At 40.6% G+C, this 20,626-nt stretch overlaps 1 protein-coding gene and 1 pseudogene across 5 annotated transcripts in view, besides 1 other annotated feature; one reads left to right on the top strand and one right to left on the bottom strand.

Moving 5' to 3' along the window:
* Positions 1-20,626, top strand: part of DIAPH1 (diaphanous related formin 1) — a 103,980-nt gene that overhangs the window by 16,857 nt on the left and 66,497 nt on the right. For 3 of the 5 annotated variants that reach the window (NM_005219.5, NM_001314007.2, XM_047416885.1), the window contains exons 2-7: positions 13,894-13,920; positions 14,947-15,102; positions 17,919-18,020; positions 18,529-18,659; positions 18,852-18,938; positions 19,769-19,832. In NM_005219.5, the coding sequence (NP_005210.3) occupies positions 13,894-13,920; positions 14,947-15,102; positions 17,919-18,020; positions 18,529-18,659; positions 18,852-18,938; positions 19,769-19,832 (567 nt within the window). Of the gene's footprint in view, positions 1-13,893; positions 13,921-13,981; positions 14,858-14,946; positions 15,103-17,918; positions 18,021-18,528; positions 18,660-18,851; positions 18,939-19,768; positions 19,833-20,626 lie in introns of those variants that run through there. The other 2 variants (XM_047416884.1, NM_001079812.3) reach the window with 2 other exon arrangements.
* Positions 4,198-4,247: an enhancer, noted in NCBI's record as "active region_23307". NCBI's record gives its function as "activates an Ori minimal core promoter by ATAC-STARR-seq in GM12878 lymphoblastoid cells {active_cell/tissue: GM12878}" and the evidence as "EXISTENCE:reporter gene assay evidence [ECO:0000049][PMID:35858748]".
* RPS27AP10 (RPS27A pseudogene 10) lies at positions 12,748-13,206 on the bottom strand (annotated as a pseudogene).

Below are 20,626 nucleotides of genomic sequence, written 5' to 3'. Positions count from 1 at the left end.
ACCCTAAGGAACTGTGTCAATCCTGAATAAAGAAATTAATCAGAGCTGGACCCTTATCTCTCTGTTCTGCATGATTCTAAGTGACATATGCCTTACCTTACCTGTTCTTTCTGGGTAGGTAGATTAGGATATGAAAGGAAATTATTTTTGGCTGTAGTGATACTTATTTCCCATTTTACCCATAGGTAGACTTTGTCATTATTGAGGGCTTATTGTCCTGTGGGCTCCAGTCAAGGTTCCTTGGTCTCATTCATAAGGAAAGACATTACTCTTGAAGGTTTGATTTACTGAGCTATTCGTAACAATCATAGTGTACTGTCATATACCTTGAATTGAAACTTTTCCTTACTTTTCTCAATTTGAATAGAGTAATGAAAGAATAAATATACTGTTTCGGATGATGCTCCTAAACCTGTAGTGATGCTAATTTTAAAATTTATTTATTAAAATGTGGGCCACATCAGTTGAATAAGACATGATTTTGCCCTCATGCAATTTAGTCTGGTTCACAGAAAAAGTTACAACAAATGATCTGTTAAGAAGGTTCTAATATAGTCCCGGTGCGGTGGCTCACGCCTGTCATCCCAGCACTTTGGGAGGCTGAGGCAGATGGATCGCTTGAGGTCAGGAATTCAAAATCAGCCTGACCAATATGGCGAAACCCTTTCTCTACTAAAAAAATAGAAAAGTTAGCCAGATATAGTGGTGTGCAACTGTAATCCCAGCTACTCGGGAGGCTGAGGCAGGAGATCACTTGAACCTAGAAGGCGGAGGTTGCAGTGAGCCAAGATCACACCGCACGTTAGCCTGGGTGACAGAGTGATACTTCATCTCAAAAAAGAGGGAGTAGTTCTTTTTTTTTTTTTTCTGTGTCTAAGATTTTATTTTTATTTTATTTTTATTTTTTATTTTTATTTATTATACTTTAAGTTCTAGGGTGTATGTGTACAACGTGCAGGTTTGTTACATATGTATACATGTGCCATGTTGGTGTGCTGCACCCGTTAACTTGTAATTTACATTAGGTGTATCTCCTAATGCTATCCCTCCCCTCTCCCCCCATCCCACAACAGGCCCCGGTGTGTGATGTTGCCCACCTTGTGTCCAGGTGTTCTCATTGTTCAGTTCCCACCTATGAGTGAGAACATGCGGTGTTTGGTTTTCTGTCCTTGCAATAGTTTGCTCAGAATGATGGTTTCCAGCTTCATCCATGTTCCTACAAAGGACAAGAAAAAAAAGGCAGTTCTAGTATAAAATATTTAGAACCTGGCTTGAGTGAGTCCTTTAGTTATTTTTGTGTAAGAATTGTGGCTAAGTATATGATTTATAGACAAGGAATAGATTTTTTCCTTATGCCATACTGTTGGCATAAAGCATCCACTAGTCTATCTTCAGGTGTGTATTTTACAAGAAGTCTTGTAGCACATTTGCCTTTACAGAATGATCTCTCACCACTCCATTTTGTTTATGACCTCAGTGGTCGTAAGAGGTATATGTGGGGGGTTAATAAATGGGGGAACTGAAGCATGAAGAATTAAGCATGTTTGCTCAAAATCATACTTGTAGTTTTCTAGGAAGCCAGAAATAAAAATCAGGACTCATGAGCCTTTTCCTTTAGCGAAGTTCTAGATAAATTCCAGAGTTCAGCAGTTTGCTTAATGTATTGGTTTCCTATTGCTTATAACATCACCCCAAACTTACTAGCTTAAAACAAACACACTTATTAGCTCATAGTTCTGTTGGTCAGAAGTTTGGCATGGATTGTGTATCTGGGATCTCAGAATATCACAAGGCTGAAATCAAAATGTCAGGCTGGGCTAAGTTCTCACCTGGAGGCTCTGGGGGAAAATCTGCCTCCAGGTTCATTCAAATTGTTTGCCAAATTCAGTTCCTTGCAGTTATAGGGCTGAGGTTCCTATTTCTTTGCTGTCTGTCACCGGGGAACTGTTCTCAGTACCCAGAGGCTGCCTATAATCTGCCTTTTGGCCCCCTCCACCTTCATGCCAGAAATGGCATCCTGAATCCTTGTGTCTCTGACCTCTAGATTTAAAGGGTTCATGGGATTGGGTCAGGCCCACTTGGATGATTCCCCTTTCTTAAAAGTCAGTTGTGCCTGAGCCAGGCATGGTGCTATATGCCTGTAGGCCCCACTACTTGGGAGGCTGAGGCAGGAGGATTGCTGGAGCTCAGGAGTTCAAGGCCAGCCTGGCAACATAGTGAGACCTTGTCTCAAAAACAAACAAACAAACAAAAAAACATAGACCAAAAAAAAAGTCAATTTTGCCTAAAATGTAATCTAATCACAGGAATGATATCCTATCATATTCACAGTCCTGATGATTATACAGGGTGTGTACATCAGGCTAGCAATCTTGGGGGACATCTTAGACTTCCACCTATCACATTAAACATGTTCCTCACACTAAATTAGCCCATGAGCAAGGGTGGATGTCAGAAAAGAGAGAAGTAGGAGTGTATACCGAGGGAGTTAGTGAATTGTGTTGTGATTATACATATAAGAAAACCTGGCTGGGCATGATGGCAGGTGCCTTGTAATCCCAGCTACTCAGGAGGCTGAGGCAGGAGAATCACTTGAACCCAGGAGGTGGAGGTTGCAGTGAGCCAAGAACACAAAAACCTTTGTAGTTCCCAGGGATCCTGGGCCTCCTAGAATCGTCAGAGTGTAAGGACCAAGTGGCATTCAGCTGTGCTGTTCTGGTGGTAGTCCATTTAGCCAAGAACTCAAATATAATTGTAGTTGTCTATTACAACTTAGCCTTAACAAAATCTTTAGAAAGTAATGAAATACAGGCTTACAGTGTGGGTTTATATTTCCCGTGTGCTGGCCACATGGTTCTTGCAATTACCGTCCATGATTAACTGTCCATGTGAAGCACAGAAGTAGGAATTAGAAACACTTTTTGCTATGTAGAATGTACTCTGTGTTCAGAGTAATGTTTAGTCATACTCTCTTTTTAGATCCCTGCTAACCTCTCTGCTGCTAAGAACTACCCAATTACCTTTTGCTTGGCTACATGAGCATCCTGTGCCAAGAGACCATGCTTAGTTGTCTGAGTATTCTCTGGGCCCTTTTTCTGATTAAAGTGAAAAGTTAAAGATTCAGAGAATCAAGTAGAGGTGAATCAGTCTCTTGGATGAGTTTTCTTGTGTCCTGAATTTACAATAGATTGAATTCTGTTACTAAGCAAACAGAGGGAGCCTCTGTGCAGAAGACTGCCATTGGACCGTTTTTAAAAAGCTGAAGTATTAATACACACAACCACCACCACTGCAAGAACAAATCCAGATATGCAAAATAAGTTTTAAACTTCATTTATGTTTTCTGATAATAATTAATCAGGGTGTTTCAAACTCATTAAGTTATTAATTAGCTTGACCTTACAGGGAATAAATACCTTGGGGTCTTTTGACTTTTTTGTTGTTGTTGTTGTTATAAACTATAAAGTATCTAGGAAGTTTCTAATTTCCTGTAGATGGTAACCAAAAGATTTATCTTACCACATATTACATTAGGATGTGGTAACTGAATCAGAACTTGAATTACTCTCTGGAAGGGGAGTAAAGGGACAGCTTTTAATTTTTATGTTGATGGATGGTCTTAGTGCAGAGAAGAACCCAGCCAAATATATTTATATTTGATGCTGTTATTTTTGATGTACTGTACCTTTGAGCAATTTGTATTGATTTAAGTAAGATTTGATAGCACTGAGAATCTTTTGGAGAAGAGAAGCTCATTTTAATACATGCAATTCTATTAAATTATTTTCCTGTACCAGCTAATGACCTTTAGACATTTATCTAGTCATCTAATTCTATTGCATAAAAACTCCTATAGAATAAATGTTTTTCTGCCCCTTTAAAAATATTTTGTTTTCATTAATAATTATTTGCATATAAATGAAATAGATAAAACTTAAGAAACAAAAATCTAACATGTGTATAAAAGTTGGCATTGCCACTGTTAGATGGAGTCTTCCAGGCAGAGAAAAACTGAATACCATCTCAGAGTCATAGCCCAGCTTCAGATTCTGTGAGTGTTTACGAGTGCACCTAGATTTTAAGGACATCACTTGGCCAGGACATAAGTAAGGCCTGGGAAACAGGGTTCACCACAGTTGAGCATCTGGCAGGCCTGCAGTGAGGGCCAAGTACTAGACATTCAACAGGAATAAGGTTGAGGGAGTACACTGCTCTGTATTTTCTGCTTCTGAGCTTACCATATGCAACCTCTGGGTCTCCTGAATAAGTCAAAGCGGGAAAGTTCTGTGGTGTGGGAATGAGTATCCTTGACAGTCCAGGTAGTAGAGCAGAGAAGGAAAGAAAAAAACTGTTAACATATGGTCCAGACAGGCCAACCATCTGGGTCAGATTCACCCAGGTGTTGTGAATTTTAAAAGCCAGAACAAAAGCAGATGATGGTGATGACAGGCTTCAAGGGTCTGGCTCAAGTCTCATTGCTCCCTTTTAGCTGGTGGTTCTCTGTACCTGGCACATACAGTCATCCTGGAACCTTTATCCCCGGGATTTCCTTCAATTTCCTCATGTGTTAGGTTTCATTTCCTGTATTTCAAGTCTTGCACTTTTTTGGTTTGCATCCTCATTTTGGTGGAGCATGTCCTACAGTAGCTTCCTGCGGTATATGGGAACAGATTTTTTAAAGCTTAAATGTCTGAAAATGTCTATTCTAAGCTGACATTTGATTGATAGTTTTTGTTGGGTATAGATTTGTAGTTTGGAAATTATTTTTCTTCAGATTTTTAAAGGCCTTGTTCCATTGCCACCCAGCTGTTGATATTATTGTTAAGAAACCCAGAACTGCTCTGATTCCTTTGTATATGACCTGTTTTCATCCTTTCTGTGGAATTTTGTAGGATTTTCTTTGTATTCCGGTGTTTTGAAATTTCACCATTATATGCCTTTGAATAATCTATTTTTGTCCTTTGTGCTAGAGACTTATCCTTCAATACTGGGAAATTTTCTTTATTTCCTTGATAACTTGCTCTCTATTTTATGTTTTCTCCTATTATTTGGATATTGGTCCTCCCAAACTGGTCTTCTAATTTTCTTATCTTTTTGCTGTACTTTTTGGGGAATTTCCTTAATTCTTCCAGTCCTTTTATTGAGTTTTCATTTCTGTTCTTGTATTTTAAACTTCTAATGACCTCTTTTTCCTCTGAATGTTTGTTGTGGATATTAATGATTTTTAGAACATCTTTCTTCTTGTTGCATACTGTTTATTTGGCAAGTTGCTTCCCCCAGCCCCGCTTTCTCTCATGTTAGGATCTTTCCTCAGATGTCTGATAATCCTGGGTTGTCTACTCATGTTTAAGAATGAGGGATTACAAAGCAGATTGGAAACTCTAGGTGCGTGGGTAGGATTTGAAAGCTGGTTGCTTTGCTGTAGGACAGCACCATCCAATAGAAATCTAATGTGAATCACATTGTAAGTTTAGATTTTCTAGTTTTAGAAACGTGAAATTAATATATCTAAAATATTACTTCAATATGAATGAAATATAAAAATTATTAATGAAATATTTTACTTTTTTATATTGTTATGAATTGCAGTGTTTATTTTACATTTACAGACATCTCAACTGAGACGCTAAATTTTTATTTATTTATTTATTTATTTATTTTGAGATTGTCTTGCTCTGTTGTCAGCAATGTGATCTCAGCTTGCTGCAACCTCTGGGGGCTCAGCTGATCCTCCCACCTCAGCCTCCTGAGTAGGTGGGACTACAGGCAAGCGCTACAATGCCTGGCTAATTATTATTACTTTTTTTTTTTGAGACAGAGTCTTGCTCTGTCACCCAGGCTGGAGTGCAGTGGTGCGATCTCGGCTCACTGCAACCTCTGCCTCCCGGGTTCAAGTGATTCTCCTGCCTCAGCCTCCCGAGTAGCTGGCACTACAGACGCGTGCCACCACGCCCGGCTAATTTTTTGTATTTATTTTTTAGTAGAGACGAGTTTCACTGTGTTAGCCAGGATGGTCTCGATCTCCTGACCTCGCAATCCACCTGCCTCAGCCTCCCAAAGTGCTGGGATTACAGGCGTGAGCCACCGCGGCTGGCCCATGCCTGGCTGATTTTTAAATATTTTTGTAGAGGCAGGTTTTGCCATGTTGCCCAGGCTGGTCTCCAACTCCTGGGCCCAAGCCATCTACCTGCCTCAGCCTCCCAAAGTGCCGGGATTACAGATGTGAGCCACCACAGCCAGTCCCTAAAAATTTTTTTAAGCCTTTTTTTTGAAGAGCAGTTTTAGGGTCACAGCAAAATTGAGATGAAGGTATAGAGATTTCCAATATATCGCTGCCCACACACGTGCATGGTGTATCAATCCGTTCTCACACTGCTATGAAGAAATACCTGAGACTGGGTAATTTATAAAGGAAAGAGGTTTAATTGACTCACAGTTCTGCATTGCTGGGAAGGCCTCAGGAAACTTACAATCATGATGGAAGGCAAAGGAGAAGCAGGCACCTTCTGCTTTGCCTTCTAAGGGTGGCAGGACAGAGTGAGTGCAAGCGGGGGAAATGCCAGATGCTTACAAAACCATAAGATTTCATGAGACTCACTTGATATCATGAGAACAGCATAGGGGAGACTGTCCCCATGATCCTATTACCTCCACCTGGTCCCGCCCTTGACATATGGGGATTATGGGGATTACATTTCAAGGTGAGATTTGGGTGGGGACACAGAGCCAAACCATATCGCATGGCCTCCCCCATTGTCAACATCCCCCACTAGCGTGGTACATTTGTTGCAATTGGTGAGCCTGCATTAACACATCAGCATCACCCAGTCCATAGTTTACATTAGGGTTCACTCTTAGTGTTGTACAATCCATGAATGACATATATCCATCACTATAGTATCATACAGAGTATTTTTCACTGCCCTAAAAACCCTCTGTGCTCTATTTATTCATAACCTGCCTACCCTACCTGCCTCCCCCAACCCTTGGCAACCACAGTTCTCTTTACTTTTTCCATAGTTTTGCCTTTTCTAGAATGTCATATAGTTGGGTACATATAATATGTAGCCTTTTCCTTTTTTCTTTCTTTTTTTTTTTTTTTGAGATGGAGTTTCGCTCTTGTCGCCCAGGCTGGAGTGCAATGGCGTGATCTCGGCTCACAGCAACCTCTGCTTCCCGGTTTCAAGTGATTCTCCTGCCTCAGCCTCCCAAGTAGCTGGGATTACAGGCACCCGCCACCATGCCCAGCTAATTTTTGTATTGTTATTAGAGAAGAGATTTCACAACGTTGGCCAGGCTGGTCTCAAACTCCTGACCTCAGGGAATCCACCTGCCTCAGCCTCCCAAAGTGCTGGGATTACAGGCATGAGCCACCGCACCTGGCCGCCTTTTCCTTTTTTTGAGACTGGGTCTTGCTCCGTCACCCAGGCTGGAGTGCAGTGGCTCGATCTTGGCTCACTGCAACCTCTGCCTCCCAGGTTCAAGCGATTCTCATACCTCAGCCTCCCAAGTAGCTGGGATTACAGGCACCCACCACCATGCTGAGCTAATTTTTGTATTTTTAGTAGAGGCGGTGTTTTCACCATGTTGGCCAGTCTGGCCTCAACCTCCTGGTCTCAAGTAACCCACCCGTCTCAGCCTCCCAGAGTGCCATGTTTACAGGTGTGAGCTACCGCGCCCGGCCATATGTAGCCTTTTCAGTTCAGCTTCTTTCTTTTAGCAGTATGCCCTTAAGATTAGCACTAAGACAACAGATAATGTTCTGTTGTCTGAATGTGCCATGGTTTAGTTACCTGTTCACCTACTAAAGGATGTCTTTGTTGCTTTCAAGTTTTGGCAATTATGAATAAAGCTGCTGTAAACATTTCTCTGCAGGTTTTTGGTGTGGACATACGTTTTCACTTCCTTTGGATAAATAAATACCAAGGAGCATGATTGCTGGATCTTATGTTAGTGTATGTTTAGTTTTATAAGAAACTGTGAAACTCTTCGAAAGTGGTTGTACCATTTTACATTCCCACCAGCCATGAATTGAAAGTTCTTGCTCGGCTGGGTGCGGTGGCTCACGCCTATAAATCCCAGCACTTTGGGAGGCCGAGGTGGGCAGATCGCTTGAGGTCAGGAGTTCCAGACCAGCCTGGCCAACATGGTGAAACCCCATACTAAAAATACAAAAATTAGCCACGTGTGGTGGCATGCGCCTGTAATCCCAGCTACTCGGGAGGCTTGAACCTGGAAGAAGGTTGCAGTGAGCTGAGATCATGCCACTGCACTCCAGCCTTGGTGACAGAGCAAGACTCCATCTCAAAAAGAAAAAAAGAAAAGAAAGTTCTTGCTCCACATCTTTGCAAGCATTTGGCATCATCCGTGTTGTGGATTTTGGCTATTCTAGTAGGTATGTAGTGGTATCTTATTTTAATTTACACTTACCTGATGACATATGATGTTGAGCTTCTTTCGTAAGTTTATTTGCCATTTAAATTTTGTTAAATAAAATGTAATAAATTCCTCCTCACTTACACTAGCCACCTTAGTAGTGCTGTACAATTATATGTGCCTAGTGGTACATGTTGGACAATGGAGCTCTGAAGTGATCTACTTGGACTATGTCACAAGCTTTAAGTTGATTCCCCAGAGAAGACACTTCCAACCTTCTGTCTCAAGGGGAAAGGCCAGGCTGCTGGGGCTCTAAGAGACTAGAGGGGGAAAAGTGCTGAGTGTCTCAGTATATACTATGCCTAGGTTTACTTTTCTTTTTAGTATAGGGACCCTGGCATCCTCCAATCCAGAGACCCTCCGTTTTACCCTCTTCTGAGAACAAACTTCCAGACCTCTGCTGGAAGAAGGGAGGGTAGTTTCCCAATGGCATGGTTGAGGGGTGGGGTATGATCTAGGGATCTAACTGCTTCTTAAACAGCTTCCAACCAGTCTTATTTTTAGCCTCCCCCTCCTTTAACTCCCATTTCCATAGGTATCTGGTGCCAATTATTCCTAAGCCTTTTGAGGATCCTTAAAGTGTAATGGGTTGGTTATTGCTCTTTCCGGTTTAGGACTCAGCTTTCTGTAATGTGTTGGATTTAATACCTCTAGTTCTTCTAGTCCCAGTCTTCAAAATTTGCAGTTGCTCTTTTGTTCTTCCCAACCTTGTAGGCTCTTTCCTTGCATCACTTCTTACTTTCTAAAAAACACCTTTTCTGTAGGTTTAGTGAGGTTTCAAGAAGGAGAGAAATTAGATGTTTTGGTTCAGTCTGACATCTTTTACCTGAAAGTTCCTATTAATCTGGATTCCTAAGCCAGATTTGGATATTTTAAAAAAATTCATTCTGTATTTATGCTTCCTTCAGTATCTATATTTGTAGTTAAAGGTATAAGTGCTAATGTTTAGTGGAGGACTCAATAGAAGGGCCAGGAAGTGAGATATTTACCACAGCCAGCCTAGGACAGTAAGGGTTTGGTTTGGGACCAGAAGAGAATTGACAGCAAACAAGGAGAATGATGAAAGTGGATGCATTTAGATGTAGGTAGGATGATTAGAGACTTAATTTTAAGAATCTTGGATATCTGAGACCTAATACATAAATAAAGCTCCAGTAGCATTTATCTCCCTGGACTCCTGTGTTTTTGTTGTTGTTGTTGTTGTTGTTGTTGTTGTTGTTAACTTGTCATGATCTAGGAACTTATTCTATATTTCAGAGAATACACACAACTAATGATACAATTAAAAAATGACTACTGAACAAAGCTGTTTGCCAACATAGAATCTGTAAGAACACACATAGTATTAACTAAGTAAACAATACACTCTGAATATACTGTAGCAGCAGGTTTCTATTTTAATAATTGAGCTTGCTGTTTGAGTGTTGTATTGGATTCTAAAACCGTTTTGCTTGTACTGACTGGGCTGTGATTCACTTTGCTGGTTGTTGCTGCCCTCTGTTGGACTAGCTCAGGAAATGCAGCTTTTTTTCCCTCGTGGATCATGTTTGCTGTCCTTCCCCAAATTGAACACTAAAACATGGGTAATTTTTTTTAAATTTTCTTTCTTTCTTTTTTTTTTTTTTTGATACAGAGTCTCGCTCTGTCACCCAGACTGGAGTGCAGTGGTGCGATCTCGGCTCACTGCAACCTCCGCCTCCCGGGTTCAAGTGATTCTCCTGCCTCGGCCTCCTGAGTAGCTAGGATTACAGGCAGGCGCCACCACACCCGTCTAATTTTTGTATTTTTAGTAGTGATGGGGTTTCACCATGTTGGTCAGGCTGGTCTCAAACTCCTGATCTCGTGATCCACCCGACTCGGCCTCCCAAAGTGCTGGGATTACAGGCGTGAGGCACTGTGCCTGGCAGATAATTTTTTTTTAAGATAAAATCTGTTTCTGATGATGCCCTAGGAAAGCAAGGGAAACTGGCATCTTCCTTCATATATATATATATATATATATATATATATATCCCCATCTCCCTTCCTTCCTTTTCCATCTAAAGGCGAGAGTTAGTGGATATTGAATAGGAAAAAGGCACAAGAATTTGGGGAATGCAAAGATTTGGCAGCTTTGGAGTCTGGATGCCTGAGTTCTGTATCCAACTCATCCCCTAATCATATGACCTCAGTAATTTACTTCACCTGGCTGGGCTTCAGTCTCTTCATTGATATAATGAAGAGGTGTAATAGACTTGGAGAGTTTCTCCAGGGATTGATATTTTAGGGAAGCAAGCCTAGATTATAGTATTTGTTCATAGGAGATATAATGACTTAAGTTACAGGCTCTGCCATCAAGTAACTTAGTCTGGAAATGGGTAGAGGAAACAGACAATCAGAAGACAATTGTAATCCATTTTTAGTGCTGTGAGACAGGCAAGTGCCTTTTACTATGGAAACACAAGGAAAGGTACATATCCATTTAGAGGAGGGATCATTCTGTAGGGCCTGTTGGAGTTGTGAAAGCACAATCTAGGCTGAGGAGGCAGCAGCCTAGGGCAAGTCTGGGGCATTGAGGCAGCGTCATCTGTTTGGAGACGAAGATGGAGTCTGAGGTGGAGAGTTTGCTGAGAAGATGAGACTGGGGGGAAAAGCCAGGAGAGTCATATGCCATGCACAGGAATTTTGATTTTAACATAGGGCAGCGGAGAGTTATTGAAGGCTTTTCAATGGAGAAATAACATGGACAGCTTGGCATTTTAGAAAGATTTCCTCTTGGATATAGTATGGAGAATGGATGTGGTATGGGGCAGATGGGACTGAAGGCAGGGAGATCAGTTAGGAGGCTGTTGGAGTAAATCAAACAGGAGACAATAATGGTGTGAACTTAGGTAGTGCTAGTAGACATGGATGGAAGAGAGACGAATCAAGAGTCTGTAGGCAGAAAGAACAGGTTGCTGGTTACCCCCCACCCTTTTTTTTTTTTTAAACTTAAGCTTCAGCTGTGAACAATTCAGCTGCCATTAATTCTTTAGACGCAGGTTCTGTTATCTACATTACATCTATCTTAGAGTTGTTTGCTTGTTGCTTGGTTCTGAGGGAACTCTTTGAGTTTGGGGGACAAGATTTTGGAAGCAATGACTCTGGGAGCAAATAAGTTTAACCTTGGCTACGGTAACCCAAATTGTATGCACTCATCCCTTTTGTGCTTGTTTCACCTTCTATATGCCAAGGGACTTAGGGTGGTGACAAAAGGAACTATGTTGTTGGTTGTCTTGGGTGGTGCTTTCTGCTTCATCATCCTTCTGCTTTGCTTCTATTACATAATCAGAACACATGAAGTAACTAAATTCCGTGGACCCTTTCTCATGGCAAGATTCTCATGGTTTGGGTGAGTGATTAGCCCTCAGCCAGTGGACTCTTGACCTATTCTGGACAATGGAGGTCAAAGTTTGTTTGCTTGTTTGTTTTATTTTATTTCAAAAGCACCAGGTTGGTGAAAAATGGACAAAGTATACATTCACAGTTTACACTGGATTGAACTGAATTGTGTTATATGGGGAACGTGAACATAATAATGTAGATTTTTCTTGTCCATGAAAGAGGAAAAATAGCTTTGTGGCAGAAATGGAACCAGTTTTTCATTAGTTGGGGAAGGTTATTCAAGAAGCATTTACCAACTGGGTACGGTGGTATGCACCTGCAATCCCAGCTACTCAGGAGGCGGAGGCGGGCAGATCACTTGAGCCCAGGGGTTCGAGACCAGCCTGGGCAACACAGGGAGACCCCGTCTCTTTAAAAAAAAAAAAAGATTTACTATACTCGTCTAAGGACATTAATGAAAAAGAAATATTGTTTAAAATTAGGCAGGATGAAGAAAAATTCACACTTTCCCAGACTTGCTCATTCAGACTTTTTTGGGGGGGCAGGAGGGGTAAAGTATAACATGTATACAGAAGAGAATGTAAAACATACAGAATAATTATAAACTGGACAGTCATATGATCCATGTCAAGATACAGAATATCATAAACACCCCAGAAGCTGCTTTGTCCCCTTCCCCAATCACGACCCCACCCCACCCACCCCAAGTAACCACTGTTTTGACATTTATGGTGATTATTTCCTTTATATAATAATTTTACATACCAAATAATACAGTGTTACATGTTTTTGAACTGAATGTAAATGAAATAATAATTCAATATTATATTTATGAATAGCTGTAAGTTCATTCACTTTCTTTGTGAAATTGCTTTCCTTGTACCAATATACCAGTTTATTTGTCCACGCTACTCTTTTAGTTCACATCTTTCATTAACTCATACACAATTATTTGTCTTCTGGTTTGTTGAAGCAATAAATCAGACAACTTTTGTCACAATAATATCTGTCAGAGTGGCCAGCCGGCCATAAACACTGTAACACTACATCCATCTGAAGGGCACTCCCAACGAAGGTGGCTACTTTTGCCATTCTCATTGGCCTTATGGGATTTCAGGACAGCCAGCTTCACCTTCTTTCTCATGCTTATTCTTCTTGGGAGTAGTGTAAAACTTCTTTTTCTTAGCCCCACCACAAAGTCTCAAGATGAAGAGTGGACTCCTTTTGAATGCTGTAGTCAGACAAAGCACATCTACCTTCTAGTTGCTTGCCAGCAAAGATCAGTCTTTATTGGTCAGGAGGAATTCCTTTCTTATCCTGGATGTTGGCCTTTATATTTTCTGTTTTATCCAAGGATTCAACCTCAAGAGTGATGGCCTCCCCCATAAGGATTTTTATGAAAATTTGTGTTTTGGTGGTGGTTCCAATATATCCAGATGGCGGATCAGAAAACCCGTTCTACTCTTGATGGCCATTTGCATTGTTTTCTGTTTTACATGTCATAGTGTTACTATGAACACTCTTGGTATACACATTCCACTACGTATATGCAAAATTCAGCAGGGTAGATAACATAGAAATTGATGTGTTGCGTTGTAGTACATGTGCATATTTTAACTTTACTGGACAATGCCTTACTGTTTTCCAAAGTGGCTATAGCATTCTATAGTACCACCAAGAGTTCCTGTTGGTCTGTGACTAGACGGACATGAAAGTTTTTTCCAGTCTTGGGAGTGTGAATTGATATCTCACTGTGGTTTTAATTTGCATTGCCTCATTTACTATGAAGTTGAGCATATCTTATAAGTGTATCGGTCATCAGATTCGGATTCTGTTCAGTTCTGCATCATCTTCTTTTTTTTTTTTTTTTTCCTTTTTAAGAGTCATATGTTAGTGACCTTCAAACTCTTCCTGCCCCTTACTTGAGGGAATGTGCTAAGGAATACTTTGACAGAAATCATTAGCTTGCAGAAAGTAGCTTGGATCCTTTCAACTTCTCTCCCTCTTTTCCCCAACCCGTCTGGTGTTTGGGAGGTTTCCTTGTACTTCACTGATTTCTCTTCTTTCTTCTCCCTCCTTTTTCCTGTTTCCTAGACTCTGAAGCGGCTCATGGCAGATGAGGTAAGGACATTTTGTTTAGCATGTGCATGTTCTAGCTCATTGCCTACACTATCATATTTACCAGTTTTCATAACTTTGACTTTCTGTAACTTATAGTGGTGATATGGCTTCTACTCAGTATCTCAAGGCTTTTTTCCTAACTCTTTGCTGTGTTTGGCCCATTGCATGCATTTCCGTGGACCTTCATTATCTTCCGAAGTTAGGCATGCTCTTTAAACTCAAAGCTGACTTGCAGTCTGAATGCCACTCATATCACTTGAAGCCCTATAATACTTACAGATAATTACTGTTATTTTCAAACAAGGAGAGCTGATAAGCTGTTGCTTATTGGTGACTCTTGTTGATTTGAGCATCAGTATTTGAGATTTGAGGAATGGCTTGTTAGCATTTGTTTGGCAGAGAGATGGCATATATACCCCTGAGGTACATTGTATTCTTTGCTGACGAGATGTCATGCAAAGGGGATTTTGAAGAATATATATTGAACTTTTGCTGCCTACATTACACAAGTGCTTTGGAGTGTACAAATTAAAGAGAAAGGAATGAATCCTGACTTTAAGGACAAATTTATCCTATTTGGCTTGTATCTATTAAAATCTGTAGTAATACCTCTTGAAGGGAGACATCCTCTGGGGTCCTAGCAACATTTATTGTTGGGTAGCTAGAAGGAAACAAAGGGCATTTTATTGATAGAACTCTGTCATGAGAGGCTTTCAGTTCCGTACTACTACAAGGCTTAGAAATGGCAGGGGAGATCAAGAACAATGTTTCTTCTAGTTTAAAGAGGTTTGAAATCTTAATACTTTGGTCCTCTTATCTTTGAACATAGATGAGAGTACAGAGTCAGTATGGTAAGTTAGATAGGAGGAAGACTGATTTCTTCTTTTCATGTCAGAAGAGTCTTGAACTGCTTGTGAACCAGAGGAACCATGCCTGTGTAAGAGGTTAAAGGGGTAAAGAATTTGATGTGTGGCTTGTTATGTAAGTGAAAATGGATCACTGCTAATGCTTTTTTCTGTTTCTCAGCTGGAGAGATTTACCAGCATGAGAATTAAGAAGGAGAAGGAAAAGCCCAATTCTGCTCATAGAAATTCTTCTGCATCATATGGGGATGATCCCACAGCACAGTCATTGCAAGATGTTTCAGATGAACAAGTGCTGGTTCTCTTTGAACAGATGCTGGTAAGTTTCCCATTCCCAAAATGTTGCTTCTTCCTGTGCATTTATGGACATGGTGGGCTCTTTTTGGTGCATAATTCCCAACTAGCCCTTTATTACAAAGAATTCCAGGCTTAACATGGAACTTTTTAATATTAACCCTTTAATCCCATAATTAGGGACTAAATATACAAATACCAGTTCATAAAATTGGAATCTGTGCTTGGAAACATCCGATCACTGTCTTGTTCATGGTCTTCTGCCCAGCAACACTTTAGCCACAAAGACGTAGTGGACCATCTAACCCTGTGTACCAGAGTTGGTAATATGGAGACCACCTTTGGGTTAAGCCAGAGCAGATAAAGTGTGGAGGTATTCACAACAAACTCTGTATAAAGGAGAAACTGAGGATGGAATATCATTTGCTCAAGGTCCTGTATAGTGGTGAATCTGGAAAGAAAATACATAGAATTGCTAGAAGACCTTTAAAGATTGTGTCTGAAGTCAGCTAAGTAACAAAGTATATGTGCATGTGACTTACTTTGTTGTCCTCAGTGAGGAACACCGAATAAGGAGGATATTCAGTGAGTGTCCATTAGTGGTAAGTCTTGGAAAGTTTTGATGAGTACAAGATTTCCTAAGACCTGTATATTGCATAGATATGTGATCTCAGATTCAAATAGAGACTAGTGGCAGGCCTAGCTTAATTAAAAGCTTAGGTTTAAAATCCTTAGCACAGGGCCTGGTACATAGTAAGCACTCAACTGGTACTACTGTTGTTATTTTTCACTGAATCTTTCAGTTTGTCTCTTAATATTCCAAGTGCATTAAGAGTCTTAAGAGTATGGTCTGTCAAGATAATCTCTTGGCCTTGGATTGCAAGTTTAAATGTCTCTTGGGCCAGGCAGGTAGTATAAATAAGGTAAGCAGGCTAGATAGAAGATGGCAAAAGAAGTGGGGAATGTGGCAAATTGAAGAGAGGCTTTTGGCATTTTTGTTAGAAAAGCCAGCCACAACTCAGTTCTAGTAGGTGGTTGCATTCCAGTTGGGAATACTTGCCTAGTAGTGCCAGATATTTCTATTTTTCAAAAGAAGTCAGCAATCCGTAATTTTAAAAAAATAATAAATCTTGAATAACATAAAATATCCTAGTCACTATTTGAATTTCCCCAATTAGGTCATTTTTTTAAAAACCAGTTTGTTCAAATCACAATTCCAAATATAGTCCACTGTACTGGTATTCTCAATTTTCATTTAAACTATAGGTTTCCCTTCCTCTTTTTTTTGAGATGGAGTATTGCTCTGTCGCAAGCAGAGCAAGACTTGCAACCTCCGTCTTCTGGGTTCGAGCAGTTCTCCTGCCTCAGCCTCCTGAGTAGCTGGGATTACAGGTGGACACCACCATGCCCGGCTAATTTTTGTAGCTTGAGTAGAGATAGGGTTTCATCATGTTGGCCAGGCTAGTCTCGAACCCCTGACCTTGTGATCCACCCACCTCAGCCTCCCAAAGTGCTGGGATTACGGGCATGAGCCACTGCACCTCTTTTTCTTTTATCCTTACTATTGATACTAAAAAAAAATTGTTGAAAAAACCGTTTGTTTGACCTGTAGAGTTTCCCACAACATGAAATTCGATGGATGAATCCTTTGGTGCTGTTTTACTAGAGATCTGTATCTTTATGTAAGGTCCCCCAGATTTAAAATGTTGAGCTAGCCAAGTGAAACATTTTATCTTTGGGTTTGACTTAGCTTGAGGGCCACCATTTTGTAACTTCTGTGTTCAGTTTATCTGCAAGAGGAAAAATGCATCTGGCTGGCAGTGGTGGCTCACACCTGTAATCCCAGCACTTTGGGAGGCCGAGGTGGGTGGATCACGAGGTCAGCAGTTCAAGACCAGCCTGGCCAAGATGGTGAAACCCCGTCTCTACTAAAAATACAAAAATTAGCTGAGTGTGGTGGCGGGCGCCTGTAATCCCAGCTACTGCCAGGAGGCTGAGGCAGGAGAATCACTTGAATCTGGGAGGTGGAGGTTGCAGTGAGCCAAGATTGTGCCATTGCACTCCAGCCTGGGTGACAGAGTGAGACTCCGTCTCAAAAAAAAAAAACCCACCAGGAATTAAGTCACAGAAACTTCAGATTAATTTTGCTGCTTGCAGAAGAAACAGAATACATCCCCCCATCCATATTTTTCTCAATTCAAATAACATTCTGGAATTATTAGGGCTAAATTTGTGCACACCAAGGTACTAGGCTTGGACACATGGTTGTTATATATGTAGAAAGATCAAGCAGAGCCTTTCCCCAAACATACATCAGATTATGTCTGTCAGGGGGCCTCTGCTTTATCATAGAGTTTCCAGTTCTTTCTTCGTGGGAAAGGAGTTTGTACAGGGACTGAGTTAACCAGGGGTAATGGGTTTGTAGGCCCTAGAGTTGGTGCAGAGTTTGTTGCTGTTGATTTTGCTTGTGTTTAGATTATGCCATTCATCCAGTGCTTCAGTCTGAAGAGATTTTTAAGGTCCATCCTTGATGCAGAAAGCATTGTGTGTGGTTTTCTTTCAATAATACAAAATAAATCTTTCATTTATATTGAGTCCATTTTTCTTAGAGAAAAAAAGTGTGTATATGTCTATAGAGATTTATACTAAAATGTTAACTATACTTATCTTTGAGGAATTTTCATCAGCTGTAATAGCTTAAATTTCTAGGGATCAAAAAGATTTATTTACTTAAGCATTTTACATGCTCAACTCTTCACTAAGCATACTAATATTAAACACTAAAAATTTGTAAAGAATTTGAGGCAATTTTGTTTTTTCTCTTTTTTCTCCCTCTCCTAGCTGGATATGAACCTGAATGAGGAGAAACAGCAACCTTTGAGGGAGAAGGACATCATCATCAAGAGGGAGATGGTGTCCCAATACTTGTACACCTCCAAGGCTGTGAGTCCTGGGACAGGTACCCATGACATGGGAGACTGTGCCCTTGTCTTGGACCTGTTTTTTTTTTGCCAATTTTATGTAACATTTTATGTCTGCATCAATTCTGTTTCATTCCATTATATAAGCCTGTTCACTTTTTACTGTCTTATTTAGTTACCGTTCTTACATACATTTTGCCTGGTTAAATTTTCATGAAGTATGTAAATATAGGGAATGGGATAGGCAGTTCTAAGTCTCATTTATGTTGGTGGTATGTGAGATGGGTATCTGCCCTGATAAACGTGGCCTGACATGGTGGCTTACTCCTGTAATCTGAGCACTTTGGGAGGCTGAGGCAGAAGGATCACTTGAGCCCAGGAGTTTGAAATCAGCCTGGGCAACGTAGTAAGACCTTGTCTCTGCTAAAAATAAAAAATAAAAATAAAGTATAAACTCTATTGACTAATACTAGTCCTTAATTTATGACTGGGTCCACCATTACTAATCTCTGTCTATGCCTTCTGTCTAGGGCATGAGCCAGAAGGAGAGCTCTAAGTCTGCCATGATGTATATTCAGGAGTTGAGGTCAGGCTTGCGGGATATGCCTCTGCTCAGCTGCCTGGAGTCCCTTCGTGTGTCTCTCAACAACAACCCTGTCAGGTGAGGATTCTGAGGAGGTAACAGGAGTAGGAGCCAAATGTTGGACTTCACTGGTGGTGATTGAAGATCAAAGGAGCCAGGGAAGCATGAGAATAGTCTGAATTGGGAGTAGTAAGTTGTCAGGATAAACTTTGTTTGGCAAATAAGTATTTATTGGTTTGATATTGCATTGCCTCTCTCTGTTCCTTACAGTTGGGTGCAAACATTTGGTGCTGAAGGCTTGGCCTCCTTATTGGACATTCTTAAACGACTTCATGATGAGAAAGAAGAGACTGCTGGGTGAGGACTTCCAAGTCTTTGCAACTTCAAGTTGGAGAGTCACAGGGGACTTGGCTATTTGCTCTGAAGGAGAAAGTAGCAGTTAAATGTAAAGTTGTGGGCTAGGGGAATGTACTGTTAGCCAAGAAGGGGTTTATCATAGTGGTGGCTAGAGGATGAATGATGATTATAGATACAGGAAAGGGAGGAGGAACTTAAATTTCATGTTGGATAAGTTCAATACATACCACAGAATATTAGTCTCCCAGCACTGGTTCTTTTTCAATCTGGAAATAAAATCTGATTTAGTGCTGCTGTGTAATCTGGTCTGGGTAATATCCATTTGGAAGTCTTATAATATACTTGGGACTAGTATTGTGACAGTCTTCAAGGTTGGAATAATTTTAGGTATACCTTGGACTCTCTTAGGCTACCTTGAAGCCAACCTGAAGCAGAGTACTTCCTGGAATCTTTCTGAAACAAAATAATAACATGGCCAAGACCTACATATATCTTCTCAGACTTGAAACCTCTAGTAGCAAGGCAAGCAGCAATAGATGGGATGTTATCCTGATAGAATTTAGCATTTAGGAGCCTAGGGAGAGTTAAAAAGAAGATTTTAATATAATACTAAATTCTTGGATTACAAGAGGATCAGCCAGATTTGTTGATGGTGAAGATCCCTCTTCAGTTATCTATTTTCTTCAGTGGTTCTGGGCAAGGTGCTATTTCCTAAAATTTACTCATCTGCTAGATGGGGCTGTTGTTCCTAAGAACCTTGTTTGCAAGATTAAAAATGGGAAAGGGGTAGAGAATAAAGGGACCTCACTGATTATGTCTTCTATATACAGGAGTTACGATAGCCGGAACAAGCATGAGATCATTCGCTGCTTGAAAGCTTTTATGAACAACAAGGTGAGATTTTTCCCATTCTCATTCCAAACCCCATCTGGACGCCTGTTCTTTCTCTTCTATTGGCAAACCAAAAGAGGAACTAGGAATATGAGGTTCAGGACTTCTAGCTTTCTCTTTTAGTATCATAACTGTTTTTCATTGCCACATATACATGCTTCTGTGGATATTTTTTTCTCAGTTCTAACTTCTGTTTCAGAGGACAGGCTCAATTTTGTTTCTCTCTCTTTTTTTTTTTTTTTTTTTTTTTTTTTTGAGATGGAGTCTCGCTCTGTTGCCCAGGCTGGAGTGCTGTGGCTCGATCTCGGCTCACTGCAAGCTCCACATCCTGGATTCATGCCATTCTCCTGCCTCAGCCTCCCGAGTAGCTGGGACTACAGGCACCCGCCACCACGCCCGGGTATTTTTTTTAATTTTTATTTTTAGTAGAGACGGGGTTTTACCATGTTAGCCAGGACGGTCTCGATCTCCTGACCTTGTGATCCACCCGCCTTGGCCTCCCAAAGTGCTGGGATTACAGGCATGAGCCACAGCGCCCGGCCTGTTTCTTTACTTTCTTTTGCTAATTCTTGAATTTCCTGACCTGTAGTTATTGTCTCTGCAATATTTGCTTTATTTCCTGTTTCTTTTTTCTTCTAGACTGTTGCTCCATTTTTATCTTCTTTTTGTCTGTTTAGTAATTCAACCTAGTGAGCCCACAGTCCTGTGCCTCTGAGGACAAATCTCTCTTCCTCATTGTTTAATTTTGTTATAATTAACTTATTCCATTGGATTGCGGGGAGAGAATTAACAAGAAA

The sequence above is a fragment of the Homo sapiens genome, chromosome 5 (genome assembly GCF_000001405.40).
Source record: "Homo sapiens chromosome 5, GRCh38.p14 Primary Assembly".
NCBI lineage: Eukaryota > Metazoa > Chordata > Mammalia > Primates > Hominidae > Homo > Homo sapiens.
Note: the sequence above shows the minus strand (reverse complement) of the source record. Positions and strands in the feature narration are given on the sequence as shown.